Genomic DNA, 18,322 nt, shown 5'->3' with positions numbered 1-18,322 from the left:
TGAAATTTTTACTTCAGTCATTGTGTTTTCAGTTCTGAAATTTCCATTTGGTTCTAGTTTGTTTGTTTGTTTGTTTGTTTGTTTTTGTTTTTTGAGAAACAGAGTCTTGCTCTGTAGTGCAAGCTGGAGTGCAGTGGGATGATCTTGGCTCATGCAACCCCTGTCTCCCAGCTTCAAGCAATTCTCGTGCCTCCCAAGAAGCTGGGACTACCGGCATGTGCCACCACACCTGGCTAATTTTTGTATTTTTAGTAGAGACAGGGTCTTGCTGTATTTCCCAGGCTGGTCTCGAACTCCTGGCCTCAAGCAATCCACCTGCCCCGGCCTCCCAAAGCACTGGGAGTACAGACGTGAGCCACCGCACCCAGCCTGGTTCTTCTTTATAGCTTCTATTTCTTTGCTGAGACATTCTATTTTATCCTGTGTTTCAAGAGTGCTTGTAATTATTCATTGAAGCATTTTTATCATGGCTGTTTTAAGAATTATTGTCAAACTTCTCAAATAATTCTAACATCCCTGTCATCTTGGTATTGGCATCTACTGATTGTCTTTTTTCATTCAACTTGAGATTTTCCTGGTTCTTGATATGATGAGTGATTTTCTCTTGAAATATGGACATTTTTCCTATATAAGACTCTGGATCTTACTGAATCTTTCTGTTTCAGCTTCCAGTCACTGACATGGCTCTGGCGGGGAAACAGGGGAGGTGCTGTTGCTGTCCCGGCACTTCCAGGTGTAGATGCAGGTTCCTCGCTTGGTTCTCCTGACACCTGAGGTGAGGGGCTCAATGTTACTGAAACCTGGGAGGGGCTCATAACCAGCCACTGGGGATAGAAGTCCCAGCCCCTTACCTGGCCTTCTCTGACACCATCCCAGCAGACGTTGGGGTGCTTTGTTATAGTTTAGGATCTCACCTTGGCCTTTGCTGGTGGGGGTTGGGGGACCACAGATTTTTCTGTGGTGTTCAGCTGGGGTAGAATGATTATTGCCTGAGAGTTTTCTGTTCTGGTAAGCTACACCTTTCCTGGTCTTTGGACTAAGACAGCAGACTTTCTTGGGGCTTTTGTTTTTTCTGTGCCAATGAGCATTTCTGGGTTGCCAGCTGCTTCTCCTCCAAGTCTGGGACACATGAGGCCAAAAAGAAAACTCAGGGACTCACCACTATTTCATTTGATATGATTTGACTCTGTGTCCACATCAAATCTCACCTTGAATTGTAGTTCCCATAATCCCCATGTGTTGTGGAAGGGACCCAGTGGGAGGTAACTTAATTATGGGGGCAGTTACCATCATGCTGTTCTTGTGATAGTGAGTTCTCATGAGATCTGATGGTTTTATTAATATAAGGGGCTTTTCCTTGGCCAGGCATGGTGGCTCACGCCTGTCATCCCAGCACTTTGGGAGGCCGAGGTGGGTGGATCACCTGAGGTTGGGAGTTCGAGACCAGGCTGACCAACATGGAGAAACCCCGTCTCTACTAAAATACAAAATTAGTCGGGCATGGTGGCACATGCCTGTAATCCCAGCTACTAGGGAGGCTGAGGCAGCAGAATCACTTGAACATGGGAGGTGGAGGTTGTGGTGAGCTGAGATCACACCATTGCACTCCAGCCTAGGCAACAAGAGCGAAACTCAGTCTCAAAAAAAAAAAAAAAATATATATATATATATATATGGGGCTTTTCCACTTTTGCTCAGCACTTCTCTTTCCTACCATCATGCGAAGAAGGATGTGTTTGCTACCCCTTCTGCCATGATTGTAAGTTTCCTAAGGCCTCCCCAGCCCTGAAGAACTGAGTCAATTAAACGTCTTTCCTTTGTAAATGACCCCATCTTGGGTATGTCTTTATTCACAGCATGAGAATGGATTAATACATCATTCCTTGGGTCTCAAGGTCCCTAGCTGGCCCGTCTTCTCTCCACCTTTCAGAGTATATATATGATGGACAGAGGTTTTAGTTTTACTTAGCAGGCGGAGGGAAAAACTTGTCTATCCATATTCCCATATTACCAGAGGTGTAAGTTTCCTATCTAGAAGACTTTTATTTTAATTAACCCACCTTTAGGACATGGCTGGTTTTTTTGTTTGTTTGTTTTGTTTGTTTTGTTTTGTTTTGTTTTGTTTTTGAGATGGAGTCTTGCTCTTGTTGCCCAGGCTAGAGTGTGATCTCGGCTCACTGCAGCCTCTGCCTCGCATGTTCAAGCGATTCTCCTGCCTCAGTCTCCTGAGTAGCTGGGATTGCAGGCATGCGCTACCACACCCGGCTAATATTTTTTGTATTTTTAGTAGAGACGGGGTGTTGCCATGTTGTCCAGGCTGGTCTCAAACTCTTGGCCTCAGGTGATCCACCCTCCTCGGCCTCCCAAAGTGCTGGGATTACAGGCATGAGCCACCGCACCCGGCCTGGAACATGCCTATTCTTAACCCAGGACAGGCATCCACATTTCCTTCAGTCAATTCAGGGAGGCTCCATTCAGAAGGCCCTTTCTGACAGTCACTGAGAAAGTGGCTGTGAGGCCATAAACAATGGCTGCAGCATCCCACCATCTGGCCAGGCCCTCCTCACATGCTGACCATGTCCAATTTTCCCCAGCAAGGAGAACTGTGGCATCTGTATGAGATCAGGCAAGAGTCCAGACTGCCACCATCTTCCCTCTGCCACAATCTTTTTGCTTCTTTTCTCAGCTCATTTAGGGGACCTATTCCTTGGAAAGCCACCGTGAGCTTTTAAGCACTGGCTTCTCCTGCATGGGGGCCTGCCCTCTCTTCGGGGCTGGCACACTGCAGGGCCTCGTCATATGGGGTCAGGTTAGGTAGGAGCCAGTTCCAGGAGGTGGCACTGAGCAGGGGCACCACGGCTGATGCCCCAGGCCCACTACCTACATTCTCATGGGTCAGGAAGGAAAGGCCCCCGCGTGGATGTTCCCACTGCCTGAGCCCAGCCCTTATCTGCTGTCCTTCACACTCACCTCAATCACTCCAGCCCTGAACCTATGTGTGGAAATTCTACCTCCAGCTCCTCCACTTTCCAGCTTTGTGGGTAAAACACTTATTCTCCCTGATCATGTATTTTGTAAACCAGAAATAAAATTCTAAGGCCCCCCAACCATCTGAATGAACTTCCTCCTCAGCCAGGGCTCTTCAAATGTAACCTGAGAGACTGGTTCAGGCCATGAAGGGACGAGTGGGGCCGAACACACCTCATTACACCTCTCCAGCATTAACATCAATACAGACCTTAAGTCTGATAAGAAACATTTTACAGGCCGGGTGTGGTGGATCACGCCTGTAATCCCAGGACTTTGGGAGGCCAAGGCGGGAGGATCACCTGAGGTCAGGAGTTCAAGACCAGCCTGGCCAACATAGTGAAACCCCATCCCTACTGAAAATACAAAGATTAGCTGGGCATGGTTGTCCGCACTTTTAATCCCAGCTACTCAGGAGGCTGAGGCAGGAGAATCGCTTGAACTCAGGAGGCGGAGGTTGCAGCGAGCTGAGTTCATGCCACTGCACTCCAGCCTGGACGACAGAGTCAGACTCTGTCTCCAAAAAAAAAAAAAAAGTCTCATTTGCATAGTAAAACTTTGCTCTCCACCACCTCTTATGGCAACCCAGACATTCCTTTCTACTGATCCCAGGTCTTCAGACAAACTCAACCAATCATCATCCAGAAAATGTTTAAATTTACCTATAGCTGGCTGGGCACAGTGGCTCATGCCTGTAATCCCAGCAATTTGGGAGGCTGAGGTAGGTGGATCACTGGAGGCCAGGAATTCGAGACCAGCCTGTCCAACATGGTGAAACCCATCTCTACTAAAAATACAAAAATTAGCCAGACGTGGTGGCAGGCACCTGTAATCCCAGCTACGGTGGCTGAGGCAGGAGAATCGTTTGAACCTGGGAGGCAGAGGTTGCAGTGAGCCAAGATCAAGCCACAGCACTCCAGCCTGGGTGACAGAGTGAGACTCCGTCTCAAAAAAAAAAAAAAAAATTACCTATAGTCTGGAAGCCCCCTCATTTGGAGTTGTCCCACCTTTCTGGACCAAACCAGTGTAATTCTTAAATGTATTCGATTGATGTCTCATGCCTCCCTAAAATGTATAAAACCAAGCTGCGCTCCGACCACCTTGGGCACATGCTCTCAGGACCTCCTGAGGGCTGTGTCATGGGCCATGGTCACTCATATTTGGCTCTGCTTATATAAATATCTTCAAATATTTTACAGAGTTTGACTCTTTTTTTTTTTGAGATGGAGTTTTGCTCTTGTTGCCTGGGCTGGAGTGCAATGGTGCAATCTCGGCTCACTGCAACTTCTGCCTCCTGGGTTCAAGTGATTCTCCTGCCTCAGCCTCCCGAGTAGCTGGGATTACAGGTGCTTGCCACCATGCCCAGCTAATTTTTGTATTTTTAGTAGAGATGGGGTTTCACCATATTGGCCAGGCTGGTCTTGAACTCCTGACCTCAGGTGATCCACCTGCCTTGGCCTCCCAAAGTGCTGGGATTACAGCCATGAGCCGCTGCACCCTGCTGAGTTAGGCTCTTTTCATCAAAACTCTGTACTGTAAAATGAGGGCTGGGAGTAGATCACTCCTTGAGAACTGGTGGCTCCACGACAGACAAGGATAAGTCTCCAGGATCCCCGCAGGGATTAACCCCACTTGCCTGGTGGAGCCTGCGTGATAAGACGCCTGCTTTGTCCTCCCTCACTTCCCCATTTGCATACTGGAGGTTCCTGAGATGACCTCCTGAATAAGCCACCTGCAATTGAAGCCTTGCTGAGTCTGCTCCTGGGGGAACACAAACCAAGACACCCTGATTTCAGGGCAGTCACCAGAAGCCCTCTTGCCAAGTTGCTTCTCCCTTGACAGAAGCATTGCAGGACTGAGAAGGAAGCCAGCCTTCTTCACACCCTCAGCCTGGAGGCCTGGCTGCAAGGCAGCCAGAGGCCTGGTGCAGCCAAGTGACCTCTTCTAGTGACTCCAGGGGCCGGTATAGAAAAGAGCCTCCTGGGCTGTTCTCCACTCACAGCCACATTACAAAAGGCCCCTTCTTTATCCCAGCTTATTCAGGCCATGTCCCAAGAAGGAAATAAAGGGTGGAGGGTGAAGGGTGGGGCAAAATAAGCCTAATTATGCCTGCTGGGAAGAGCTATTCCCACCCTCAGGCCAGTCCAACCAGGGGAGGGGATGTTCCTCATGGAAGAACAGACCACAGGCCAAGGTTCTATGCTATGCATGGTATGTGCCATCCATGTATACGTGCTATATCTGTGACATGCTATACATGGTGTCTGCTGCATGTGGTGCACGCTATATACATGTTATACCTATCAAGCAGTATGTGTATTACTTGCTATACATATTATATGCTTGTGTGTTATACGTTAAACATGCATGTGTCTGTTATGCATTCTATATGTATGCTATGAGTTATGTAGTGTACATGTTGTTTACTATGCATGTTGCATGCCATACATGTACACATGCTATGTCTGTTACATGTCATGCAGCTTGTGTTATATATGCTGTATATATTGTGTACTAGTGTTGCACATGTATGTGTGTTACATGCTATGCATGTATGCATGCTATATATGTTATATGCAGCATATACTACATGCTATATATGTTTCATGCTATTCATGTTGGGCACCATGTGTATTACATGTGACTCCTCACAGACGCTAGCTGGCTAAGTCCAGTCTCCCTAGAAGAGGTGCCATTGGCTGCTACAGGCTGCACCATCTCCAACTCTGAGCTCCCTCTGGGCTCAACTCTGCCTGCCAAGATGCTGCTACAAGATCCTAGGCCAGGCCCAGAGCCTTTCAGGGGTCAGGACAGCTGGTGCTACTAGCTGGGCCTGGCCAGGGCCTGGCTAGCAGCAAGAGATCTTTGCTGTTTTTTTAATCTGTGTCATATATGAATGTACCGTAATTTGTTTACCCATTCTCCTGTTATTGGACATAGGGTTCTTTTGAGTTTTTACCTATTTATAAATAAAGTTGACATTAAATTCTCTCTGTAGACCTATCTTTTTATTCCTTTTGTGTAAATACCAAAGAATACGATTTCTGGGCCATATAAAAGTGAATTTTAACTTTACACCAAATTTGTAGTTTTCCAAAGTGTTGGAACTGATTTACCTGTGTAGACAGTGGATGAGAGTTTCCATTGCTCCACATCCTTGCCAACCTTTGTTGATGCCAATCTTTTCCATTTTAGTCATTCTAATTGCATAGTGGAATTTCATTCTAGTTTTTAATTTTTATTACTCAAATAAGTAATGATGTTGAACACTTTTTCATATGCTGTGGGCCATCTGGATATCTTTGGATATCATAGCAAAATTAAGAGGAAGGTACAGAGATTTCTCATATAACCCCTGCCACCACGCTGGCCATTATCCACATCCCCAAACAGTGTGGTACATTTGTTAGAGTTGATGACCCTACGGCGACATCATTATCCTCCAAAGTTCACGGTTTACCTGAGGGCTCACTCTTGGTGTTGGATATTCTATGGGTTGGACAAATGCATAATGACATGGATCCACCATTAGAGCATCACACAGAGTATTTTCACTGCCTTAAAAATCTCCTCTGCTCTGCCTACTCATCTTTCCCTCCCCACTAATGCCTAACAACCACTGCTCTTTTCACTGTCTCCATGGCTCTGCCTTCTCCAGGGTGTTGGAATCATACACTAGGCAGCCTTTTCAAATTAGCTTCTTTCACTTAGTAAGATGCATTTAAGGATCCTCGGCTGGGCGCGGTAGCTCATGCCTGTAATCCCAGCACTTTGGGAGGCCAAGGTGGGCGGATCACCTGAGGTCAGGAGTTCGAGACTAGCCTGCCCAACATGGTGAAACCCCCGTCTCTACTAATAGTACAAAAATTAGCTGGGCATGGTGGTGGGCGCCTGTAATCCCAGCTACTCAGGAGGCTGAGGCAGGAGAATCGCTTGAACCCGGGAGGCAGAGGTTGCAGTGAGCCGAGATCGCGCCACTACACTCCAGCTTGAATGACAGAGCCAGACTCCATCTCAAAAAAAAAAAAAAAAAAAAAAGGATTCTCTATGTGCTTTTGTGGCTTGATAGCTAAAATCTTTTTAGTGCTAAATAATATTCCATTATTATGCATGTACCACCATGTTATCCAATCACCTACTGAAAGACATCTTGGCTGCTTCCAAGTTTTAGTAATTATGGGTAAAGCTACTATAAACAGCATTTTGTCAAATGTTTTTTCTGTATAGATATGATCATAATTTTTTTCTTAGCCTGTTGATATATGCATTACATTAATTAATTTTCAAATGTCAAACCAGCCTTGTATACCTAGGATAAACCTCAGTGGGTTTAGTAAATAATTCTTTGTATACATTGTTGGATTTAATTTATTAATATTTTGTTGAGAGTTTTTGCCTCTTTGTTAATGAGGGATATTAGTTTTCTTTTCTGGTATTATCTTTGTCTGGTTTTGATATTCTGGTAATGCTGTCCTCATAAAGAGTTAGGAAGTATTCTCTCTGTTTCTATTCTCTGAAAGACATTGTAGACAATTTGTATAATTTCTTCCTTAAATGTGTGTTACGGGCTGAGTGAGGTGGCTCACACCTGTCATCCCAGTACTTTGGGTGGTTGAGGTGGGCAGATCAGTTGAGGCCAGGAGTTTGAGACCAACCTGGCCAACATGGCAGAACCCCATCTCTACTAAAAATACAAATATTAAGGCCAGGCGCGGTGGCTCACACCTGTAATCCTAGTACTTTGGGAGGCCGTGGCGGGTGGATTACCTGAGGTCAGGAGTTAGAGACTAGCCTGATCAACATGGAGAAACCCGGTCTGTACTAAAAATACAAAATTTGCCAGATGTGGTGGCACATGCCTGTAATCCCAGCTACTCAGATGGCTAAGGCAGGAGAATCACTTGAACCCGGGAGGTGGAGGTTGTGGTGAGCCGACATCGCACCATTGCACTCCAGCCTGGGCAACAAGAGCAAAACTCCATCTCAAAAACAAACAAACAAACAAATATTAGCCAGGTATGGTGGCACATGCCTGTAGTTTAGCTACTCAGGAGGCTGAGGCACGAGGATCATTTGAATCTGGGAGGTGGAGGTTGCAGTGAACCGAGATCATGCCACTACACTCCAGCCTGGGTGACAGAGCAAGACTCTATCTCAAAAAAAAAAAAAGTTTGGTAGAAGTTGCACTTATCTGGGCCTAGTGCTTTATTTTTTAGAAGATTATTAATTATTGATTCAATCACTTGAATAGCTATAGGCCTATTCAGAATGTCTATTTTTTTCTTGGTGAGTTTTGACAGATTGTGTCTTTCAATGAATTGGTTCATTTCATCTGTGTTATCAAATTTGTGGACAGAGTTCTTCATAGTATTCCTTTATTAATCTTATAATGTCCATAGTATCTTTCATTTCTGATGTTAGTAATTTACATTCTCTCTTTTTTTCTTAGCCTGGCAAGAGACTTATTGATATTATTAATCTCTTCAAAGAACTGCTTTTGCTTTTGTGGATTTCCTCTACTGATTTCCTGTGTTCAATTTCATTGCTTCCTGCTCGAATTATTTTATTTCTTTTCTTCTGATTACTTTGGAATTAATTTGCTCTTCTTTCTCTAGTTTTCTAATGTGGAAATTTAGATTATTGATTTTAGATTTTTCTTCTTTCCTGATGTATGCATCCAATGCTATAAATTCCCTTTATGTACTACTTTTGCTGCATCCCGCGATCTTGGATAAATTGTGCTATGGTTTGAATATACCCCTCAAAGGTCATGTGTTGGAAACAATCCCCAATGTGACAGTTTTGGGAGCTGGGGCCTAATAAGAGATGATTCAGTCCTGAAGGCTCTGCTCTCATTAATGGATTAATGTCGTGATCACGGGGATGGGCTAGCAGTTATCTCAAAAGTAGGTTTGTCATAAAAGTGAGTTTGGCCCCCTTCTTGCTCTCTTGCTCTCACCCTCTCTTGCCCTTCTACCTTCTGCCACAGGATGACATAGCACAAAGGCCTTTGCCAGACGCCATCACCATACTCTTGGACTTCTTAGCCTCCAGAATTGTGAGTCAAATAAATTTCCGTTCATTACAAATTACCCAGTCTGTGGTATTCTATAATAGCAACATAAAATGGGCTAAGACAAGTTGTATTTTCATTTTCATTTGGCTCAAAATATTTTAAAATTTATCTTGAGATTTCTCCTTTAATCCATGTGTTTGTTGGTTTTTTTCCTAAGGAAGCATGTTGTTTTTAATTTCCATGTATTTTGGCATTTTCCAGTTATCTTTCTGTTACAGATTTGTAGTTTGATTCCATTGTGATCTGAAAGCAAACACTGCATGATTACTATTCTTTTAAAGTTGTTAAGGAATGCTTTATGGCCTGAAATGTGGTCTATCTTGGTGAATGTTCTATGTGAGCTTGACAATATTTTGCTGTTGCTGAAGGAAGTAGTCTAGAGATGTTAATTATATCTAATGATTGATGGTGTTTTGAGTTCAACTACACCTTCACTGATTTGCTGCTTGCTGGATCTGGCCATTTCTGATAAAATGTGGTTAAAGTGTTCAACTGTGTTCATGGATTTATCAATTTTCCTTTCAGTTTTATTAGTTTCTGCCTCATGTTTTTGCTCTGTTGTCAGTTGTATACATGTTAAGGATTGGAGAACCTCAGTGGATAAAAGAGGGCATTACATAATGACCATGGGACAAATGACCCCCTTTGTCATTATGTATTGCCCTTCTTTATCCTTGATAAATTTCCTTGCTTTGAGTCTGCTCTGTCTCAAATTAATAGAGCTACTACTGATCTCTTTTGATCAGTGTTAGCATGGTGTATTTCTCTTCATCCATTTACTTTTTTTTTTTTTTGAGATGGAGTCTCGCTCTGTCACCCAGGCTGGAGTATGTGTGTATATATATGTGTATATATGTGTGTGTGTGTGTGTGTGTGTGTGTGTATATATGTGTGTGTGTGTGTGTGTGTATGTATATATATATAGATAGATAGATATAGATATATTTTTTTTTTTTTGAGACAGAGTTTCGCTGTTGTTGCCCAGGCTGGAGTGTAATAGCACGATCTCAGCTCACCGCAACCTCCACCTCCCAGGTTCAAGTAATTCTCCTGCCTCAGCCTCCCTAGCAGCTAGGATTACAGGCATGTGCCACCACGCCCGGCTAATTTTGTATGTTTAGTAGAGACGGGGTTTCTCCATGTTGGTCAGGCTGGTCTCCAGCTCCTGACCTCAGGTGATCCACCCACCTTGGCCTCCCAAAGTGCTGGGATTACAGGCATGAGCCTCCGCGCCCGGCCAACAATCTCTATATTTTAATTGGTGTATTTAAACCACTGATGTTCAAAGTGAATATTGATATAGTTAGATTAATATTTACCATATATTTTTTACTATTTTCTATTAGTTGCCCTCGTTCTTCATGCCTATTTTTGCCTTCCACTCTTTTTCTGCCTTTTGAGGTTTTAATTGAGATTGTATGCTGGGCGCAGTGACCCACGCTTGTAATCCCAGCACTTTGGGAGGCCGAGGTGGGAAGATCACATGAGGTCAGGAGTTCAAGACCAGCCTGGCCAACATGGTGAAACCCTACCTCTACAAAAATACAAAAATTAGCCAGGCATGATGGTGGGTGCCTGTAATCCCAGCTACTCAGGAGGTTGAGGCAGGAGAATCTCTTGAACTCAGGAGGCAGAGGCTGCAGTGAGCAGAGATTGCGCCATTGCACTCCAGCCTGGGCAACAGAGCGAGACTCCATCTCAAAAAAAAAGAAAAAAAAAAGAGATCATATATGATTCTGTTTTCTCTAGACTGTTAGCATATCAGTTATCTCCTTTTTAAACTTTTTTTAGTGGTTGCCCTACAGTTTGCAATATACATTTATAACTAATCCAAGTCTACCTTCAAATAACACTGTACCACCTCACAGTCAGCGTGAGTCCCTTGTAACAAAATAATACTAACTCTTCTCTCCTGAGCTTTGTGTCATTGCTGTCATTCATTTTACTTATGGATGTAAACTTACAGTATGTAGCTGTATTGCTCTGTTAGATCAATTAAGAATAAGAAAAATTAAAGGTTTTTGTTTTTTTTTTTTTTAGATGGAATCTCGCTGTGTCACCCAGGCTGGGTTTTGCCATGTTGGCCAGGCTGGTCTCAAACTCCTGACCTCAGGTGATCTGCCTGCCTTGGCCTCCCAAAGTGCTGGGATTACAGGCTTGAGCCACTGCGCCCAGCCCTCTTCCTTTCTTTATGTAGAGCTTGAGTTTCTGACCTATATTATTTTTCTTCTTAAGACTTCTTTTAACATTTCTGCAAGTCAGTTCTACCAGCAACATAATCCTTCGCTTTTTGTTTGTCTGAGAAAGTTTTCGTTTTTCCTTTACTTTTGAAGCACAATTTCACAGCATGAAGAATTCTAGGTTGGTGCTTTTTTTCTCCCAACATTTTAAATATTTCACTCCACTCTCTTCTTGCTTGCATTGTTTTTAAAGAGAAGTCAGATGTAATTATTATCTTTGTTCCTTGTAGGTATGGCACTTTTTTCCTCTGGCTTCTTTCAAGAATTTTCCTCTATATTTGATTTTCTGTATGTTCTAAATGATATGCCTAGGTGTGGGGGTTTCGGGGGCATTTATCCTGGCTAGTGTTCTCTGAGCTTCCTGGATCTGTGGTTTGATGTCTGACATTAACCTGGGGAAATCCTGTCATTATTGTTTCAGATATTTCTTCTTTCTTCTCTTTCTGGTATTCTCATTACACATATGTTACACTTTTCTATAGTTGGCCCCGTAGTCCTTGGATATTCTGTTCTGATTTGGTTTGGGGCGTGTTTTTTTCTTTTCTTTTCTTTTTTCTTTTTTTCAGTCTTTGTTCTCTTTGCTTCACAGTTTTGGAAGTTTCTATTGACATATCCTTAAGCTGAGAGATTCTTTCCTCAGCTGTGTCCGGTCTACTAATGAGCTTATCAAGGCATTCTTCATTCCTGTTACAGTGGTGTGGTTTTTTGTTGTTGTTGTTGTTTTTAATCTATAGCATTTCTTTTTGGTTCTTTCTTAGGATTTTCATCTCTCTACTTATATTACTCATCTGTTCTTGCACGCTGTCTGCTTTATCCATTAGAGCCCTTAGCATATTAATCATAGTTGTTTTAAATTCCTGGTCTGATAATTCTAACATTCCGGCCACGTCTCATTCGAATGCTCTGTCTCTTCAAATTGTGTTTTTTGCCTTGTCGTATGCCTTGTATATTTTTCTTCATGGTGTACACAGTGTGCTGAGTAAAAGGAACTGCTCAGCCTTCAGTGATGTGGTAATGTTGCGGGGAGAGGACGTGTCCTACTGTGATTAGGACTTTTTGTGAGTCTATCGCTCTGTACCATGAACTTCACAGGTTCTTGTCTTCCCCCTTAAGTGGGGCAGAATAGCTACCGTGGGCTGGAGTTGCTACTTCCCTTCCTCCAAGTCAGTTAAGCTCTAATAATACCCCAGCAGGTGAAGCTGTGTGTGTGTGTGGCAGGTGGGTGAGGGGATGAAGAAAAGTTGATTAATGCATGGAAACATACAATTACATAGAAGGAATAAGTTTCAATGTTCAATAGCAGAGTACAGTGACTAGTCAACAACGGTGTGTTGCGTATTTCAAAACAGCTAGAAGAGAGAACTTGAAATGTTCCCAACACAAAGAAGTGATCAATATTCCAGGTGATGGGCACCCCAAATACCCTGACTTGATCATTACACATTCTGTGCATGTAACAAAATATCACATATACCCCTTAAATATGTACAAATATAAGGTATCATTAAAAAAAATTAGGGCCGGGCGTGGTGCCTCATGCCTGTAATCTCAGCACTTTGGGAAGTCAAGGCAGGAGGATCACTTGAGCACAGGAGTTCGAGACAAGCCTGGGCAACATAGTGAAACCATATCTCTACAATAATTTGTTTTTTAATTAGTCCATGTGACCTGTAGTCACAGCTATGAGGGAGGCTGAGATGGGAGGACTGCTTGAGTCTGGGAGGCCAAGGCTACAATGAGCCATGATCATGCCACTGCACTTCAGCCTGGACAATAGAGCAAGACCTTGTCTCAAAAAAAAATTGAAAATAAAATAACCCGGCAGGCAGACTCTGGCTAAATAGTTCTCCTGATGGCAGGTCTGTTAAGAAGAACAGAGTGCTATGTCTTATTTCAAAATTTTTCCTTTTCCCCTCCTCCTGCTAGAAACACAAGCTTTTTCTCTGATATCCACTGTGGGAATCTGTTCAAGGTCCTGGAGGTAAATCTCACAGTATTCTTCCCCTCATCCCATGAATGGGTCCCCTGGAGTTCTGAACTCTCAGACTCATCCCCATTAGCCTCCAGCAATTGGCCACTGGCAGTTCAGGTTTCCTCCCGGCACTGGTTCCCGTGGTTGTTTCTGCCCATGGTCTCCGCTCCAGTCAGCTACACTCCCTGTGTCTGCCTGTCAGTCCCTCCAGTGCTGGGGATGATGGTCTACCCTGTGTCCTCACCTCTCTTAAGGATCCAAGAAGAGTTCTTTTATTCTTCAGTCTGTTCAACTGTGTACTTGTTGCTAGGATGGAGTGGTGGCTTCTAACCTCCTTACATGTGGAACTGGAAATAAAAAGTCCCCATTTCCTCTTCTGTTCTTTTTAAAAAATTGGATCATTTGGCTTTTTCTTATTCATTTGTAGGAATTCTTTAAACATTTTTATTAAGAATACTTTGTCAGATATATGTTTTCTGAATGTCTTCTCCTAGTCTTTGACTTGATTGTCTACTCTTTTCATGAACTCCTGATAAAGCGAAGTTTTCCGTTTTAATAGTCTATTAATTTTTTGTTTGTTTTATGGTTAGTGCTTTTTGTGTCTTTTTGGCTGAAGAAATGTAAACATAAATGTTATATAATACTTCTAGGAAGCCTCCTTTAAAAAAAAAAAGGCATGCCCTTCATCCTTCTTTCCCCTGTCCTGCTGCCTGGAACATACATATGATGGCTGGAGCACTAGCACCCATGTTAGACCTTGAGAAGGAGGTGATCTTGGGAATAGAAGTCACAAGATCAAAGAAGCCTAAGACATCATGAAGATGCTATACTAGCCCTGAAACTGTCTACTTCCAGACTTCATTTAGATGGGACAGAATAACGTCTTTCTTTCTTTTTTTTTTTTTTTTGAGACAAGGTCTCCCTCTGTCACCCAAGCTGGAGTGCAGTGGCTCGATCTCGGCTCAATGCAACCTCAGCTTTCCAGGTTCAAGCCATTCTCCTGCCTCTGCCTCCTGAGTAGCTGGAATTACAGGCATGCACCACCATGCCCGGCTAATTTTTGTATTTTTAGTAGAGACGGGGTTTCACCATATTGGTCAGGCTGGTCTAGAACTCCCGACCTCAGGTGATCTGCCTGCCTCAGTCTCCCAAAGTGCTGGGATTACAGGCGCGAGCCACCGTGCCCCGCCAGAATAAACTTCTATCTTGTGTAACCCTCTATTATTTAAGACTTTGTTCCTCACAGCTGAACTTAATCATAACTGATGTATAAAGAAAGATCAGTTAGCAAACTCACTAGTTACTCTTCTGTTTCCACTTCAGTTTCAAAACTTTCTCTAAATCAGTGGGTTTTAATCCTCCATGTCCATCACAGTTACCTAGTGAGCCTATAAAAAGTGGAAAAGCAGCCGGGCACAGTGGCTCACGCCTGTGAGCGAAACTCCATCTCAAAAAAAAAAAAAAATGGTTGGGGGAAAGCCCTGAGTCAGGTTGGCCCTGAGTGAGGAGGCCCAGGCTTCCTAGTTTTCAGTCTCCCCAAGGGACCCTACATGGATTACCAAGGTTGAGAATTGGTGCTTCGAGTCGATGTTCTGCTCTTGGCATGGAAGTGTGAGCACAGTGGTCTACGTGTCTGTGCTTTGGCCTCTGGTGGGAAAAGAACCAACATACAGAGATTTATGAAGTACAAATAGAATTGAACTCATGGGTCCTAACTCATGCCTTGAAATATAGGCGTGAGCCAGCCACACAAGCACATCAGCTTACTTAGAGTGCACAGGCAGTGTGAGGCCGTGGAGCCCTGGGATCGGCAGCCAGCAGCTCTAGGCTCCTGGTGGGATGACCCTGGGCCAATTATAACCTCTGTGAGCCTACTTCCTCCTTTGAAACAGGGGTCTCAGGGGGTCTATCAGTAACAGCTGCCTGCCTCACCCTGGATTGTTGTGAGGATCATATAAAGTAATGGATTTTTTTTTCTTTTTGAGACAGAATTTTGTCTTGTCACCCAGGCTGGAGTGCAATGGCACCATCTCGCCTCGTTGCAACCTCCACCTCCCAGGTTCAAGCAATTCTCCAGCCTCAGCCTCCCAAGCATCTGGGACTACAGGCTTGAGCCAACCCCACCCGGCTAATCTTTGTATTCTTAGTAGAGATGGGGTTTCACCATGTTGGCCAGGCTGGTCTTAAACTCCTGACCTCAAATGATCCACCCACCTTGGCCTACCAAAGTACTGGGATTACAGGTGTGAGCCACTGTGCCCAGCCTAAAATAATGGCTTTTAAAGTGCCTTGTGTATAACGCCCAAGTGTGTTTCTGACATCTCTGTACCACAGGCATGTCAGAGATTCTGTCCTCCACCACGCAGCGTTCTAAAGGACCCCATGCACAGCCTTACTCCTTCCGGGGCTTCATGTCGACTCACCAGCCCCAGCCACCTGGAGCAATGGTCCCTATCGATTTTCCCTTGGAGAATAAAGTGAACGTCGTTCATCTTCTCCCTGAAAAGTGCAAAAGGCATAGACTCACTTGTCCACAAAATATGCCACAGCCTGGGGTTCACTATAGTCAGGAAGCCCACTAGGGACGTAAAGTAAGGACACTGGTTCTATAGAATACCACTCCACTAGGACCAGAGAGAGAGCAGCCACTCCAGGCAGTGGGACAATCTGCTATCTAGAAGGTGGCAGAGCATAAACCCATGAGTGCCAAGTCCTCAGAACTGGGACTGCTAGTTAGGCATGGTAGCTCACGTTTGTAATCCTGACACTTTGGGAGGCCAAGGTGGGAGGATCACTTGAGGCCAGGAGTTCAAGGCCAGCCTGAGGAACATAAAGAGGCCTCATCTCTACAAAAAAATTTGAAAATTAGCCAGGTGTGGTGGCGCGCGCCTGTAGTCCCAGCTACTCAGGAGACTGAGGCTGGAGGATCGCTTGAGCCCAGGAGTTCAAGGCTGCTGTGAGCCCTGATTGCACCACAGCACTCCACCTGAGTGACAGAGTGAGACCCTGTCTCAGAATAAGAAATAAAAAAGGAACCAGGATTGCTCATGGACACCTTGGGAAGATGTCTCTGACCACCTGTTATGGACTGAATTCTGTTCCCCCAAAATTCCTGTGGTGAAGCTCTATTCCCCAGTATTTTAGAATGTAATGGTATTCAAAGACAGGGCCTTTAAAGAAGTAATTAAAATTAGCCAGATGTGGTGGTGGATGCCTGTAATCCCAGCTACTCGGGAGGCTGAGGCAGGGGAATCGCTTGAACCCGGGAGGCGGAGCTTGCAGTGAGCCGAGATCACACCACTGTACTCCAGCCTGGGCGAGAGAGCGAGACTCCATCTTTAAAAAAAAAAAAAAAAAAAGAGGTAATTAAGGTTAAATGAAGTCATAAGATGGGGCCCTAATTCAACAGGACTGATGTCCTTATAAGAAGAGAAAGAGACAGCAGGGAGGGGTGTGCACAGGGAATAGACCACGTGCGGACACAGCGGGAAGATGGCTGTCTACCAGCCAAGGAAGGAAGGCGCCGGAGAAACCAAACCTGCTCACACCTTGATCTTGGACTTCCAGTCTCCAGAGCTTTGGGGAAATAAACTCCTGTTGTTGAATTCACCCAGTCTATGGTCTTAGTTCTGGCAGCCTGAGCAGACTAACTTTAGTGCCCACGCAGCCTGAGGTTTGCTCTGAACTGCTAGGATCGGGGGTGGGAGGCTGGAATGCAGGAGAGTGTTGCATCCACAGGGCCCGGCCTCCCCCACCTGGCTCTATGTTCCATGTTCCTCTCAACCAGGTCGTCCCTCTGCCCCTTGCCTGGGAGAGTGAGGTCCCTTCTGAACCCCCACCTCCAAATCCAGTTCCTTCCCACCGCACGCTGCCCACAACATCTGCTCATCTTCCAGGCCTCTAGATCCAATTTGGAAACCACCATTTTTTCCCTGGCTTTAAAAGGTAGATTTACTCAGAAAATTTCATGCAGAAGAAAATTATAATCCCATTGTGGAAATATACAAAGACCAGCCAAATGAGAACAGCAAGGCTATTGATTCAGAGCTTGCTCTAGCAAGGGAGTCGGCCATTGTCACTTTTGTTTGGCAGAGACTCAAAGGCAGGCTGAGGAGGGGAAGCCTCATGGTGGAAAAAGGGAGGCTTCAGGGGTGCCCTGATGGATGCTGCCGGCATGGAGAAACTGGAGGCAGCTAACTAGAAGAGGGCATTTTATGGGATTTTGGTTAGGGGCAAATACTTGGTTTTCTTTGGCTGGTCCTAAGTTAAAAGGGGGGACAAAAGTTACAGAGGCTGAGGCTGAGGCAGGTGGATCACTTGAAGTCAGGAGTTCAAGACTAGCCTGGCCAACATGGCAAAACCCTGTCTCTACTAAAAATACAAAAATTAGCCGGGTGTGGTGGCACGCTGTAATCCCAGCACTTTGGGAGGCCGAGGTGGGTGGATCACTTGAGGTCAGGAGTTGAAGACCAGCCTGGCCAGCATGGCAAAACCCCATCTCTATTAAAAATACAAAATTCCCTGGGTATGGTGGCATGTGCCTGTAATCCCAGCTACTTGGGAGACTGAGACAGAAAAATTGCTTGAACCCAGGAGGTGGAGGTTACAGTGAGCCAAGATCATGCCACCGCACTATAGCTGGGGTGATGGAATGAGACTATATCTCAAAAAAAAAATTAAATTACAGAGGCAGGCAGTCATTAATCCTGGCCATTTGGGGCTGATTGTCACAGGTGTCATTGTGTAGCTTCCTGGACTGTTTGCTAGAGATGGTGGGCCAACTTTCTATCAGACTGACATATAGGCAGCAGGCTGGCTTCCTGGGCTGGCTCCTGCAGATAATGGGTCAGTTTCCTGGCCTGGTTGCTGCAGATTGCGGGTCTGAGTTCTATTTTTATACATGCTCTGGCCATTGTCTGTTTGTATATTCATTCAATCGCTCACCAGGAAGGTTCAAATCAAGGCCTCAGACTGTTATATAAATACCAAGAGCAAAATCCTAAAGTA

At 44.6% G+C, this 18,322-nt stretch overlaps 1 long non-coding RNA gene across 1 annotated transcript, besides 1 other annotated feature; it reads left to right on the top strand.

Moving 5' to 3' along the window:
- Window positions 1-373: 373 nt before the first annotated feature.
- On the top strand, window positions 374-9,119 carry LOC124907886 (uncharacterized). Its single transcript, XR_007087231.1, has 2 exons — window positions 374-775; window positions 9,017-9,119. It is a non-coding gene; the product is annotated as an uncharacterized LOC124907886 (long non-coding RNA).
- Window positions 13,116-13,619: an enhancer, noted in NCBI's record as "NANOG hESC enhancer chr2:128999497-129000000 (GRCh37/hg19 assembly coordinates)". NCBI's record gives its function as "activates a minimal SCP1, AML or CMV promoter by ChIP-STARR-seq in naive H9 embryonic stem cells {active_cell/tissue: H9 hESC(naive)}" and the evidence as "EXISTENCE:reporter gene assay evidence [ECO:0000049][PMID:30033119]".

The sequence above is a fragment of the Homo sapiens genome, chromosome 2 (genome assembly GCF_000001405.40).
Source record: "Homo sapiens chromosome 2, GRCh38.p14 Primary Assembly".
NCBI classification, from domain to species: Eukaryota; Metazoa; Chordata; class Mammalia; order Primates; family Hominidae; genus Homo; species Homo sapiens.
The sequence above is the reverse complement of the archived record's forward strand: the minus strand, read 5'-3'. Positions and strand labels throughout refer to the sequence as shown.